This window comes from Homo sapiens, chromosome 3, assembly GCF_000001405.40.
Source record: "Homo sapiens chromosome 3, GRCh38.p14 Primary Assembly".
Lineage (NCBI taxonomy): Eukaryota > Metazoa > Chordata > Mammalia > Primates > Hominidae > Homo > Homo sapiens.
The window spans coordinates 54,807,169-54,822,117 of NC_000003.12; the positions used below are offsets into that span (position 1 = coordinate 54,807,169).

The 14,949-nt window shown below is 42.6% G+C and overlaps 1 protein-coding gene across 1 annotated transcript in view, besides 1 other annotated feature; it reads left to right on the plus strand.

Annotated features, from left to right (window-relative positions):
- CACNA2D3 (calcium voltage-gated channel auxiliary subunit alpha2delta 3) overlaps positions 1-14,949 on the plus strand; it is a 952,006-nt gene that overhangs the window by 684,617 nt on the left and 252,440 nt on the right. The window contains exon 14 of the mRNA NM_018398.3: positions 9,685-9,702. Coding sequence (NP_060868.2) covers positions 9,685-9,702 — 18 coding nt within the window. The remainder of the gene's footprint in view (positions 1-9,684; positions 9,703-14,949) is intronic.
- Positions 13,809-14,512: an enhancer, noted in NCBI's record as "OCT4-NANOG hESC enhancer chr3:54855004-54855707 (GRCh37/hg19 assembly coordinates)". NCBI's record gives its function as "activates a minimal SCP1, AML or CMV promoter by ChIP-STARR-seq in naive and primed H9 embryonic stem cells {active_cell/tissue: H9 hESC(naive and primed)}" and the evidence as "EXISTENCE:reporter gene assay evidence [ECO:0000049][PMID:30033119]".

Consider the following 14,949-nt stretch of genomic DNA (forward strand, 5'->3'; position numbering starts at 1 on the left):
AAAAGCAATGGCAACAAAAGACAAAATTGACAAATGGGATCTAACTAAACTGAAGAGCTTCTGCACAGCGAAAGAAACTACCATCAGAGTGAACAGGCGACCTACAAAATGGGAGAAAATTTTCGCAACCTTCTCATCTAACAAAGGGCTAATATCCAGAATCTACAATGAACTCAAACAAATTTACAAGAAAAAAACAAACAACCCCATCAAAAAGTGGGCGAAGGACATGAGCAGACACTTCTCAAAAGAAGGCATTTATGCAGCCAAAAAACACATGAAAAAATGCTCACCATCACTGGCCATCAGAGAAATGCAAATCAAAACCACAATGAGATACCATCTCACACCAGTTAGAATGGCAATCATTTAAAAGTCAGGAAACAACAGGTGCTGGAGAGGATGTGGAGAAATAGGAACACTTTGACACTGTTGGTGGGACTGTAAACTAGTTCAACCATTGTGGAAGTCAGTGTGGCGATTCCTCAGGGATCTAGAACTAGAAATACCATTTGACCCAGCCATCCCATTACTGGTTATATACCCAAAGGACTATAAATCATGCTGCTATAAAGACACATGCACACATATGTTTATTGTGGCACTATTCCCAATAGCAAAGACTTGGAACCAACCCAAATGTCCAACAATGATAGACTGGATTAAGAAAATGTGGCACATATACACCATGGAATACTATGCAGCCATAAAAAATGATGAGTTCATGTCCTTTGTAGGGACATGGATGAAATTGGAAATCATCATTCTCAGTAAACTATCACAAGAACAAAAAACCAAACACCGCATATTCTCACTCATAGGTGGGAATTGAACAATGAGAACACATGGACACAGGAAGGGGAACATCACACTCTGGGGCCTGTTGTGGGGTGGGGGGAGGGGGGAGGGATAGCATTAGGAGATATACCTAATGCTAAATGATGAGTTAATGGGTGCAGCACATCAGCATGGCACATGTATACATATGTAACTAACCTGCACATTGTGCACATGTACCCTACAATTTAAAGTATAATAATAATTTTTAAAAAATAAAAAATAGTAAGAAAAATTCAGTTCACTCCAGATGCCCCAATAGCTTATACTGAGCTGAAAGCCATTAGAAGCTAGGTCTCATGGATGTGGGGTCAGAAGACACCATGGGTGCTGAGCTCTGCCATGTCACTGCCATGCCCTCCCTGCTGTTGACTTCACTCTTAGGCCTATTTGATGATCTTTCCCCAGTAGTTTAGTTCTAGGTCTTTCCTCACAGATTGTAGTCAAGAGGAAAGCTAGCAGGGGAAAAGTGGGAGAGGGGTGTAAATGAAAAGTCTCGATTAGACTAGATTAGGTCACACGTCTACCCTGAGCCAGTTGCTGTGGCCGAGGGAAAGCGATGAGTTGAGTTGATGGCTTGGGTCTGGGTAATGTCCAGATCATGGGGCTTGGCCTCTTACCTAGGGCAAGGGACACTGAAGGAAAGGGGTTAGATAATGAACATAAAGAGATAAGTGTTCTGGATTTCTCACCTGTAAAATTGTAGTAATAACACTATTAGTAGAGATAGGAGTCACACTCTGCCTAATGTACCTTGCTCAGACCCTATCATTTCTTCACTAACCCACTGTGATGCAGCAGTGGCTCAGTGAGAGGGGTTCTGATACCAGGTCTGTAGGGTCACCTGTGGACCATGAGGTTGGTGATTACTGTAACCTCTCATACGCTATCGGATTGGAGCCAGCCCTAAGTACTCTGGAGGTTACGAAATCAAAGGATGAAAACAGCAAACTGTTATGGGCCAGTTGTTTTCGTAAAGACTCAATATGCATTAGCTCGTTTAATCCTCACATTAATCTCATGAAATAATGTTATTACTACTGTTTTACGGATGAGACCTCTAGAGTTCAGAGACGCTATATTGTTGTCCAGGTTCTTATGGCTACTAAGTGGTAGAGGTAGTATTTGAAAGGTGGTCTACCAAGCTCCAAGGCCCTCCTTCTTTCATTGCTTCTTCCTTTCTTCCTTCTTTCTTCTCCTTCCTTTCCTTCTGCTCTCATTTCTCTCTTTCTCTCCCTCTCTCTTCCTTTCTTCCTTCCTTCCTTTATCTCTTTCTTCTCTCTTTCTTTCCTTCCTTCCTTCTTTCTTTTTTTTTTTTTTTTTTGAGACGGAGTCTCGCTCTGTCGCCCAGGTCGGACTGCGGACTGCAGTGGCGCAATCTCGGCTCACTGCAAGCTCCGCTTCCCGGGTTCACGCCATTCTCCTGCCTCAGCCTCCCGAGTAGCTGGGACTACAGGCGCCCGCCACCGCGCCCGGCTAATTTTTTGTATTTTTAGTAGAGACGGGGTTTCACCTTGTTAGCCAGGATGGTCTCGATCTCCTGACCTCATGATCCACCCGCCTCGGCCTCCCAAAGTGCTGGGATTACAGGCGTGAGCCACCGCGCCCGGCCCCTTCCTTCTTTCTTTCTTTCTTTCTTTCATTCTTTCTTCCCCTCCCTCCCTTCCTTTGTTCCTCTCTTCCTCCCTTCCTTCCCTTTCCTCCTTCCTCTCTCCCCCCTTCCTTTTTTCTTTTTCTCTCCCTCCCTCCCTGATCTTTTTTTCTTTCTTTCCCATTTCCCTCTTTCCCTCCTTCCTTCTTTTCAACAAATATACACTGAATTCTTACCAAGGGCCAGGCATAGGTATAGTCCCTAGGAATACAACAGTGAATAAGATAGATACAGTCCCTCGGTAGATCTTATATGGAGGTCATCAAAAAACCTAAACAAGTAAAGAGGAAGATTACACAGTGCAACAAATGCTAAGACAGGAATAAACAAGATGATATTATAGAAAGACACTTGGGGTAGAGATAATAACACCTGCCAGAAGAGGTGCCATCAGAGCTGAGATCTGACGCATGGGTAGGGAATCAGTGAGGCAGGGAAGTGGGGTAGTCAGAGAATTGACGTGAAGTTGTCGGGGCAGAGCATTAACCAACCAGAGGAAAGAGCCCCACAAAGGCTTTAAGGCAAGTGAAATTTGAAGCACAGGCTGCCAAGTACCAGGCTTATACTTTCAGATCATTCTGGGTGCCATGTAAAGGAAGGATTGGATTGGAGGGCTGGAGTGAACCTGGAGAGACCAGATGAGCAGCAGTGGTGGCATGGTGTGGGGTGGCAGAAGTGGAAGGATGTGAGACAACCTGCACTGCCAAATCTTAGCTCATCAGAGACCCCTTGGCATAGGTTTTAGAGTTTGAGCCATTTAACAGAACTTTCTTTGCTCTATAGTAGAGTGCGGATCTTTATCCACATTGCTTAATGAAGAAGAATGGAAGATTATACATGCAAGCATCCACAGGGAAAAAAATGAACACACAGAACCTCAGCAGCAAGCAGGGATTGATCATTCATTCATGAGGCCCGAGGCAAAGGGCCAGTTTTACAAATGGAATAAAGATATGTAGGCCAGGCTTTTTTTGTTTTACACAGTTGGCAGGAAAATACTTTGTTTCTTATTTGGTCTTTACATATTTCACAGTGAAATGTGTTGTTTTGATCAATAGATCTTTAATTGGAGTTTTATGTTTGAAAAAGGGTCCACTCAAGTTTGGAACTTCGTTGAGCTAGAGCACTAGATGTCCCTTCAATCACCCCCATGGGTCTGTGTGAAACTCTGAGGTAGAAATGAAGTGAATTAGGAGAATTAAAACAAAAACATGTCCCTCTGCTCGGTGGGTATTTTTCTTTTTGAAATACCTTTATCAGGGCCTCAGATCTCTTCCTCACATCTCCTTTGTGCCTCACCTATTGTTCCTCACAGGTTGCCTGCGCTGGTCCCATCTCATCACATGGGCTCTCCCTGGTGGGATGTCCCCGATTGAGTCCTGGGCTCTCGCTGTCCTCTGCCTACACTCACCCCTTCGGTAACCTCATCTACGTGCAGACAGTAACCAAGCTCAGGCCTCCTCCCGGGACATGAGCTTCATATTTCCAGCTGCCTACCCTACACCTCTGCCTGCAATCCTAAGAGACATCTTGAACTTTTCTTAATTTTGGACAAAACTGAGCTCTTAGTGTTTTTCCTCAACTGTGCTTCTCCCATACTCATCTTCTCAGTATGCCTCTCCCATAGTCATCTTCTCAGTAAATGGCAGCTCTGTTTTTGCATTTATCAAGGACCAACCTTGGCCGCATCTTTTATGTCTCTTCTATCATGATCCAGGCTATCATCTCGATTCTCAACTCTACCTGGGGTCAGACTATTGCCTGCTGCCTCCACACCACCAGTGTGCTGATCCTGTTCTCCCTCAGTTCTTTTTTTTTTTTTTTTTTTTTTTTTTTTTTTTTTTTTTTTTTTTTTTTTTGAGACAGCATCTCACTCTGTCACCCAGGCTGGAGTGCAGTGGTGTGATGTTAGCTCACTGCAACCTCCGCCTCCCAGGTACAAGCGATTCTCCTGCTTCAGCCTCCCAAGTAGCTGGGATTACAGGCACACTCCACCATGCCCAGCTAATTTTTTTTGTATTTTTAGTAGAGACAGGGTTTCGCCATGTTGGCCATGCTGGTCTCGAACTCCTGACCTCGGGTGATCTGCTCACCTCGGCCTCCCAAAGTGCTGGGAGCACAGGCATGAGCCACCATGCCCGGCCTCTGTCAGTTCTTATCTAGACCATTCAATAGTCTGGTCACCGGCCTTCCTTCTCAAATTCTGTCTTTATTGCTCTCTGGCTTTGTGACCTTGTAGTTTCAACATCTGCAGAATTAGAGTAATAATAGAGCTTACCTAATAAGATTACTGTGAGTTTTCAGTAAGTTAATATAGGTAAAGCACTTCAAATGGTGGATAGCATGTCACAGCTGTCATAATCACCTGTCATTACTGCTGTCTTCAATATCCTAGTGCATGGCTGTTAGCCTTAAGATAACCTCATAGGCCAGAATGACTGCTAGAGCTCTAGTCATCACATTCACCTTCCTGGCAGTAGGATGGAGGGAGTCCTTTTAAAGACACTATCTGGAAAAGCCACATTTATGCATACCTCATTGGCCACGACTGAAGCCATTTAACTGCTTATATCTTTAATAGAGTCATTTAGCTAAGCTTGGCTAAAATTAGGGTTTCTGGTACTGAAAAAGAAAAGCAGCATGGCAATAACTTTGCTACCAATTGCAGGTATGTGGTACTAGGAAGGCCTGCGAAAAGAGCATATGACAAGAGAGGGTAAACAAGTCTTCTTTGAGACACAGACAACTGACCAGAGAAATAGGTGTTTGCCAGGCAAGTGGAGAGGGGTCTTAGGAAGAGCTCCAGGATGAGAGGACAGAACAAATGTCTGTGACCAGAGAGAGCACGGACAGTCTTCATGTTGCACCATCCACCTGATACACCACATATTGAAAACCATGGTGGCTGGGTTCTCTGTCCTCCATCCAGACTCTTCCATAAGGAGTCGTGCCAGGATTTCTCATCCCTGCTTTCTCTTCTGGGTGATGCCCAGATGGAATGGCCCATGAGGTCCCCAAGTCCTTTGGGGGTGTAGGTTTGTGCTGCTATTGTGTGGTCGTGTGAGAAGTAGCACTGGTTGGAGCAGACGTGGGTCCACACAGAGCCTTGTCCTTGACTTTCAACAGGAACATTTCCTGACTGGGGTGACCTTGGTGAGATACTTAACCATTCTAAATATTGTCTGTTTCCTCACCTGTAAACTGAGAAGATACTAATATCTAATCCAGAGATTCACTACAAAAAGCAAAAGAGCTAAAACTGATCAAGCATTTAGCCAGGTCCCTGGTTTAAGGAAAAAGTCCAATCAACAGTGACTATTTCTGTTATTGCTGTCACCTTTATCTTCATCATTTCCTCTCCTTCATCCCCTTCTGAATACACATTCTCCATGTTTGAATGTGAAGTGTCACCTGAAATGTATCCTGCACCCAGCTTTTTCTCAGGAGTGTGTAAACCCACAGCACACCACAACTTTTTTCTTTAACCTTCTTTTGGAAAAATGACTTGAGGATGTATTCAGTTATACAGAGAATCCTACAGTCTGCGGTGTGGGCCAGGAAGGAACCCAATGCTGCCTGTCCAGACCCCTCATGGAGTAAATGAGGAAATAGACCCAGCAAGGCAGAGCCTGGTTGGCAATGCCTGACAAGGTGGCTTTGAAGAAGAAAACATCTCCCCGGTGTGTTGAGGAAGAGATGTGACCTCATCTGGAGCCTCATGATGATGAGAAGTGCCCAGGCTGGTTTTATGCATATCCAGGGGTCACTGAGACATCACTCATAGACAGACATCTATACCAGGCATGTGGGAATGTGAGTTTCAAATCTATTCCTCTAGCAGATATATTTTTCTCTTGAAGGCCATCAGCTTGGGTGATTAACATGGTGGTGGGGGGTGTTGATTCAAGGATTCAAGGCAGTTACCCCGATTATCTTTCCCTGGCATCAACTCTGGGCATATCCTAGTAATAAGGTAGCTTATTTAACAAGGGAAGTACCAGTCACAGGTTAGAGGACTTCACACGTACATATGGGGAAGATGTCTTCTCTGCCCTCATGGAGTTTGTGACCTAGCAGGATAGAAAGGCATTACTTGAAAAAATTACATAGTCACTAGAGTTGTGCTCAGAACTATAGAAAAAAAGCGCAGGGAAATGTTTTGCCATTTCTTATTTATAACAAATTCTGCTATTTGGTTATAATATTCTTTTTTTTTTTTTTTTTTTGAGACAGGATCTCACTCTGTCGCCCAGGCTGGAGTGCAGTGGCATTATCAGGGCTCACAGCAGCCTCAACCTCCTGGGCTCAGGTGATTCTCCCCACCTCAGCCTCCCGAGTAGCTGGGACTACAGCCATGTGCCACCATTCCCAGCTAATTTTTTTTGTATTTTTTGTAGAGATGGAGTTTCACTATGTTGCCCAGGCTGGTCTCAAACTCCTGGACTCAAGCAATCTGCCCAACTTGACTTCCCAAAGTTCTGGGATCACAGGTGTGAGCCACTGCACCTGGCTGGTCATAAAATTCTTTCCAGTGAAACTCAGGCATGACTTCAGAATCCTTCTCAACATAGCCCTTCATCCAGCCGTTGCTAATTAGTTAGAGCTGGGTCTCAAGGTAAAACCTAGCGGCCATCCAAGACCTGGCCTTTCCCCAGCCCTCTCTCTATCATTCCACTTTACAGGCAAGCACACTGGCCAGAGGCTGGAAGGCATATGCCTCAAGACTTGAGTCAAAGGCCAAAGCAGAGCAGGTATCTGGCTGGTCTGGCCCCTAGGGCAGGGCCCTGCACGCAAGTCATGAATGCTGGGTGACAATGTGTTGGGGAGCCAGCTCCCAGCAGCAGCATCTGTGGCCACAGAGGATCTGATCTAAATATGTGCTATTCTACCCTGAGACTCCTTCAGAGAGGTCCAGCCTGGTGAGGGCATCACAAGCTGTAATTTACATTATTTAAAAGCTCCAGTAGGAAAGTTGCTCTTTGTTCTCGTAAGTTATTTCTTGAGGAAAATATATGTTTTGTGGGGAGGATGAGGGCAGTCTTAAACTGAGGACATCACCACAAAGGCCTGGTCTGTCATTTTCCTTCCCAGGATTTCTTCCCATATGCTTAAATGGATGAGTCAAAAAGAGGTGTTTCCTGCTCAACAAAGATAAAATAGAGAGAGAGAGAAAGGACAGCTCTCCTGTCAGAGAGGCCTGCAAAGTCCAGCAGTTTGTGCAGGGCTTCACTTTGGTATTTATTTTGCAGTCCATCAAACATTTGTCATACTCATGGCCCCTTGCTTTCACAGGACATAGCTGCGATTCGACACAAACACTTTCCTAAGAAAATATACATTTTTCATTCCACAATGTTCATGTATCCAAGGTTTGTTTCCTGTTGTGTGAAAAGATGTTTAATATTTGAGAAGCTTTTTTAAAAGTGATTCCTCATTTTAAACTCAGTTTCTCATCTCGTGGTCTATTTTTTTCTGAACTCTTGAAAAGCACTGGAGGAGCTTATGAGCTTCCTTTCTGAATAGTTCCAGCCATAAGTAGGAGGAACAAATCAGGAAAACATCCTCATATTTCCGTCTTCTTAAATTGGGAGACCCGTATAAGATAAAAGTGTTGGAAATTGAGTGTTGGAGAAGTTGGAGTCTGCTTTTCATAGACATTCTCAATACCATTTTGGAGACATCTCTGAGATCCAAAACATCTTGTTTGTTCGGTTCTACTCTTTGTGGGCTCCATCCACAGGGGCAGGGGTTTAGGGCAAGTTTAAGAGAGCCCTGGTCTTCTTTTATCAGAAGAGAAAGCATTCTTCCCAGAGTAAAAAGAATGGGAAAGTCTGATGATTCAAGTGGAGACCTTAAGATGTCTCATTTAGTTGCTTTGCATTTTCTAGCACTTCTGATGTCATAAGCTCTAGAGAGACAGAGAGAAAGTCTACTGTCACAATTCCCAAGTGTTTGGGGTCTTTATTTATGTGTGAATTGAGTTGAATTAGTATGTTCTAAAGTCAGGCAGCACAGTCCTATGATTGTTTATCTATGGGACGTTGTATAATTACTTAACCTTTAAGTTCCATTTTAGTTTTTCTCTGTAAAACAGGGATACCTAGCATTGGGTTGTTGTGATTTAATGGGATAATGCAAAGACGTAATACAGTGCCTGGTGACAAGTTCACACTCGATAAATGTTAGTCCCTATGTTGAGAAGTAAATCTTCGTAATGATGTAATTCTTAGATTGGGTATTTAATACATGGATCATGTTAATTCCATTCCAGATTAGAAAGATGCTTTCAAAAACACTGCATGCTATAATGGCAGTCATAATACTGTGGAATTAAACCGTAGCCTAATACTCTCAACACAGAAATATAGACAAATATGTCTCGTAAATGTTGATCTTTTTCCACATACCTATTAATTTCAGTTCCTCGCCTGTGCCATTGGGAAAGCTGTTATGTCTTATTTTATGGATTGACTGACTGCCTTTTCCTTGTTCTTAGAACATCAGCTTTACTTTAAATGCACAAATCCTGGTGCATACTTCCTTAACCATCAATAAAGGGAACAGTTAATGTGCTACAAAGCAAGAAAAATTGACTTTAAAAACAAGCATTTTTCTAACAGTCTTACCTTTATATACAGCAGGGTTTCTCAACTTTGGCACTATGGATATATGGGCTGGGCAGTTTGTTTTTGTGGGGGACTGTCCTGTGCATTGTAAGATGTACCACAGTGTCCCTTGGCCTCTACCCTCTAGAGGCCAACAGCTCTCGCTCCCTTCCCTTTCACCCCCTAGTTTTGACAACCCCAAATGTCTCCAGATGGCCCTCATCCAGTTGAAAACTGCTGGTCAAAGGAAGAAGGAACTGGGTCATGGAATTGTGCCCTTCGGATCACTGGGCAGAAGAGCCTCGGTTCCAGCTTTATAGGAGTTTACCAACTGCTTTGGATGTGGTGATTCCCAAAACACATGCTGGAAAGCTCGTAGATTATCTGTTGATACCACAAATTCAGAAAGCAGGTCAAATAATCAGCACTGTAGCTTCATTTTGAAAAATAACTTGCTTTACCTCTTTTTCACTTGTCTCCCCATTTTGGTTTCTCCATTTGCAAATGGCAAGAAAATGAAGCTTTACCATTAATTACTTATATAATGATCAACTTTTTTCTTTTTTGTTTTGTTTTGTTTTCCCCCTTCAGCTCCCTCAGGCACAAAAGGTAAATTCTCTTCTGTCACATTCCAGTCACCCCCAGAACTCACGAGTCATGCATGCCTCCATGGTGTTGTACATTTGACACTGTTCATGACCAGTGAAATGGTTTTTTTCCACAGCTTCAGAAACCTGAAGTTGGGCAGGAACAGAGAGGCCAGCAGACTCAGTTGTCCACTGCTCCTTTGCTGAGTTAGTCCCTCCAAAGGACCCTATAGTGGCCAGTGATTGGGAGGTGAATCTGTGCCCAACTGTTTCTCTAAGAATTATCAAATAATAGGTCAAGAATAAGTTTGACACATTCCTTCCAATGTAGCATTCCAGGCCTTCTCTGAGGTAATTTTTAGGGAGACAAATAATGTGAATAATTAGTAAGGCGTGGTAACCAAGTTTAAATTTGGGGCTCCTAAGCCAAATCGCTGAAAACTTATTGGATTTTATTAATTGTAAAAATCAGCAGCTCCTTTGCTAGCTTCATCATCCCAGAGACCATTAGAGCAGATTTCTTGCCAATGGCCAGACCCTTTCACTGGTCCTCATTGTCTGAGATGATCTAGTTCCACCATCTAGAATGTTCTGTGTCCAGAAAGACTCCATGTGGTTGCAGTGATGGCTTTGCTGTGTCACCCTCATAGCATGTCGTTGTATCCTAAGGACATTTATGGCAGAAAATATGTCACTCAGTGCCTGCTGCATTGTTCTTGTGTGTTTCACAAATTCTGGAAGACACAGCAATTTCTGGGGGCCAGATGTTGTGTTTCAAGAGTCAAGGTAGGGCACCCCCCTGAAATTTAAACAGCATCTCCTAAGCTCTCCAGTTTAGAGCAGAGGTGATTTGGTTCCTTCTCATTGAGAGAGAGCACAACTGCTCTACTAAAGACAGTCTGTTCAGACCATATGGACAACCAGAGGCCTAGAAATCATTACACAATTACTCAGATATATTTGAGGTATTTAAACAAGGCAAGGCATGCTAGTGTGTGACTTGGCTTGTGGTAATGTTTGATTACACTTCAATGCCATCACAAAAGGACGGAATACTTCATTAAAAGTTAAAGTATTCAAGGCTCACAACAGCTTCCAGGGTAAATAAATGGTCAGAATTCCAGATTGTTTGGAAGGCTCAATGTCTTTGATAGGACATGCTTTCTTAATTACCTACATTTGAATTTTTTTGATAGAGAGACTTCACAAATTCTCTGCCTAAAAATGGACCAGCTTCCACTTATTGACATTTATTCATCAAATTTCCACTGATCCATATACAAAGTATTCCTGTTACAGAAAATAATTCATGAATTGGAGGTGCCATCAGCCGTAGAAATTTGTTTTATTTTATTTTTTGAGACAGAGTCTCACTATGTCACCCAGGCTGGAGTGCAACAATCTCGGCTCACGCAATCTCCACCTCCCGGGTTCAATCGATTCTCCTGCCTCAGCCTCCTGAATAGCTGGGACAGACATGCGCCACCGCACCTGGCTTATTTTTGTATTTTTAGTAGAGACAGGGTTTTGCCATGTTGGCCAGGCTGATCTTGAATTCCTGACCTTAGGTGATCTGCCTGCCTCGGCCTCAAAATGCTGGGATACAGTGAGCCACTGCGCCCAGCCAGCCATAGAATTGTAAAACAAAGTTCAAAACAAAGCAACACAGAATACAGAAGAACAAATGTTGCTGGGCTATATAATACTTCAGTAGCACTTACTTCATTGCATTCACTTCTTCTGTCATCATATATTGACTCACATCACATGCCCTGCAAAGTGGAGCATATTATTGTGGTCATATAAAAGTCAAGGAAGGTACCTCAGCTGGCTTCCTAATTTTTTTCCCTGTCTCCGAATGATGTCAGACATCCCAAGGGACTTGTTCTATAGCCCTATGTGAAAAGGAATAGCTTTGCCTTCTGTTCCTATCATGGCTAGAAATTGTCTTTTTTCTGTTAAAATAGAGAAAGGCACTTACCTTACAAAATATTAAGAGATCTATGCGACATGGTTTCAGAACACTTTGGGGGTAGTTTGCGGGAAATTCAGCTCTTTGAAGAAGGAGTTTGAACGTAAACCTCAGGTATCTAGGCTGGAGGGTAAGAGGAGTTGAGGGAGAGGTGCACCATAGATTGAAGGCATCCTCCCAAAGGCTGCAAGTCTCCACCTGGTAATGTATTAGCATCCCTGCCCCCAACTCCCCTTCCCATCCCTTCCCCAGTATTACCTCAGTGACACTTGCAAGAGGCCTTTGCCAGAAGAATGAGGTTCTTGCAAGTGTCAGCTTTCCTTAGATTTACTGTCTTGCTGCTTGACCAGCAAAGGAATGTGGTGGTTCCATTTTGGCCTTCATCCATTTGTTACCATGGGTAAGTTACTTAACCTCTCTAAGCCTACATGTTTTTATTTACTTAAGGAGAATGATAAACTAACTTTCCACTTTTGTTTTGAAAGTTACTTCTCTTACCTGTTCCTCGCACAGAGCCTGGCATATGGTAGACCCTCAAAATATAGAGTTCTTATTACGACTTGGCTTGACTTGACCCCTGGTGCTTCATAGCACATCAAGAGAGCAGTCATATCTGAGGGGTGGTCTGGGACCTCTGCCCAATGTTTTGTGATTCTGACTCAAGCCTAATGAATAACTGGGAGAGGGCAAAAGAGCCCAGCAGGTATGGGTGCTCCCCCCATTTCATTAGAAACTCTGTTGTTGGGCCAGGCATGGTGGCTCACGCCTGTAATCCTAGTGCTTTGGGAGGCCGAGGCAGGTGGATTACGAGGTCAGGAGATCGAGACCATCCTGGCCAACATGGTGAAACCACGTCTCTTCTAAAAATACAAAAATTAGCCGGGCGTGGTGGCGCACACCTATAGTCCCAGCTAATCCAGAGGCTGGGGCAGGAGAATTGCTTGAACCTGGGAGGTGGAGGTTGCAGTGAGCCGAGATCACACTACTGCACTCCAGCCTGGTGACAGGGTGAGACTCCACCTCAAAAAACACACACACACACACAAAACCTGTGTGCTTAAACTGACTGCACCTTCTTCATGTAGTCAGAAAGAAATGGAGATTGGTCTTGAAACCCCAACAAAGCAAAAATTTGTCGGGAGAATTGTTTTGAGAGGTTTCTTCCTAATGCCTTTGACATTACCCATAGATTTCACTCATCTGTGGCCATGATTCTAATGAGCTCTTTCCAAACCCCTGAGTTTGTTGTTCCAGGGGTGAAAGAGAGGCACCCCCAGCCACTACAGCTTTGGCCTACTTTTCACATGAGGTCATGAGCGCATACGTTGTACCATATGGTGTCTGCATTTGCGCTGTGTTTTTGTTGGACTCTGCCTTTGTATCATCTGCAACTATTTTCTCTATAAATATTTTAAATAGTTACGTCTCTGTAAACATACTTATTTAAATCTCTTGGCTGATCTGCAACTAAAAATGTCCCATTTGGGTGTCCCTCTTATGTGTAGCAGCCATTAATGACTGTTGTCTGTAAGTTATGGTTTTCATGATTCTAATATTTTGAGGGTCTTCCAAAACTTCTAGTCCTTTATGACAATGTTTTAGAACAACAGTTTGAAAAAAAATATTATTTTTTCTGTGGTTCTTAAGCATCTCTAAGATAATTCCTAGACTCTATAAATTTCAAGCCTTGATATAAAATTGGAGTGGCACTAACTGGTGATGAACCTGATAAATATTAAATATTCTTAGCAAATATGGAGGTAGTGTCCTGAGGTTTTGGCTAAAAAATATGTAGCAATACAGATGCAGCACTTTCAAGGCGTCACAAATTCATTCTTCTGGGTGGAAATTGGACCAGTTTCTTGGGTGGATTGATTGTCCCTGAATTCAACAATGAAGAGAGGTCTATGTGTAAGAAAGGTCTGCTTTTTAAAAATTCTTCTTTACTTCTACAGAAGTGTCCGAGAGATCTGATTTTATGATAATAACATAGCAGAATTACCCAAAGCCATTTACAAATATATGTTCAATAGTAATACTATTGAACAAAATAGTCCCTTTTTCTAGCTGCATTTTTCTTCACGTAGATTCTGTCTATAGGAGCTAAACATCAGTTATTCACTGCAGGATTAATTTAATCAATGTAGGTTTAATCAACGTAGAGTGGGCCCGAATGTTTAAAGTCAAAAATACTCTTCAGGGAGTTCCAAACGTGGCTATTTATGTGGATGAACGTGTCCAGACTCTGGTACCCTTTCCCTTCATTTTCTGCTGCATCCACACAACTTTGGAATTTGCAAAAGAACATTTCTTAAAGGTTTCCTAGGTGCTCTATGTCTTTCCTGACACCGTATTAGTTAATATCAACCTGAGAATTCTGAGTAGGCATAAGCATTTTTCACAAAACCATAGTTAAAGCAAACCACATCTCTAATCCTGTTTGGAACAGCAATTGATGCATTCAGGGCTGCGCAGTATGGCAAAATGATCCCTGTTTAATAGCCCGACTGCGTGTTTTGTTTCCTGTTAGGAACAGCTTAACTTGCCTCCTTGAACAAACACAGCAGGGTTCAAGATCTGTTGTTCTATGCCTGCTGTGATTTTCTGTGCTGCTTAACTTGTATGAGGACTCAGGAGTGCATAAATTAGCTTCTTAAATGGAGGTCGATTTTTGGTCTCTTTTTCAGAATGGAACTGTTTTATTAATTTCTCCCCCTGAGTGCAAACGGCATCCTGAATCTATTTGCATTTTCTTTGTTTCCTTGTTTATATTATATTTTGGAGGAATAAATGGAAGCCTTCGTTTTTCTAGAGTCTTTCGTTCTTTCTTTCTTTCTTTCTTTCTTTCTTTCTTTCTTTCTTTCTTTCTTTCTTTCTTTCCTTCCTTCCTTCTTTCCTCTCTCTCTCTCTCTCTCTTTCTCTCTCTCTCTTTCTCATTCCTTAGGTACAAATTTGTACAAGTAGAATTTGGCCTAGCTCTTATCTCAGGGTAATCAGATTTCAGCAATTGCGAGGCATCATTTATCATTCTTTGCCTCATTTAACTTCTATACTTCGAACAGTTGAATTAACTGTCAATGAAAATTGAAAATTGAAAGTTTGCAAAGCTGCTGTTTTTGTAGAACTGCAGGTCTAGTGATTTCAGTGTTTCATTACAGTTATATAACCATCTAAACTGATGCAAATGAAGTGCAAAACTGAGAACTGATAACTATTTACATTTGGTTCTGGTTTATGACTCATTTGCTTTTACCTGTACTTTGCTTTGCATGTAAACTATTACATCTTGTTTTGAAA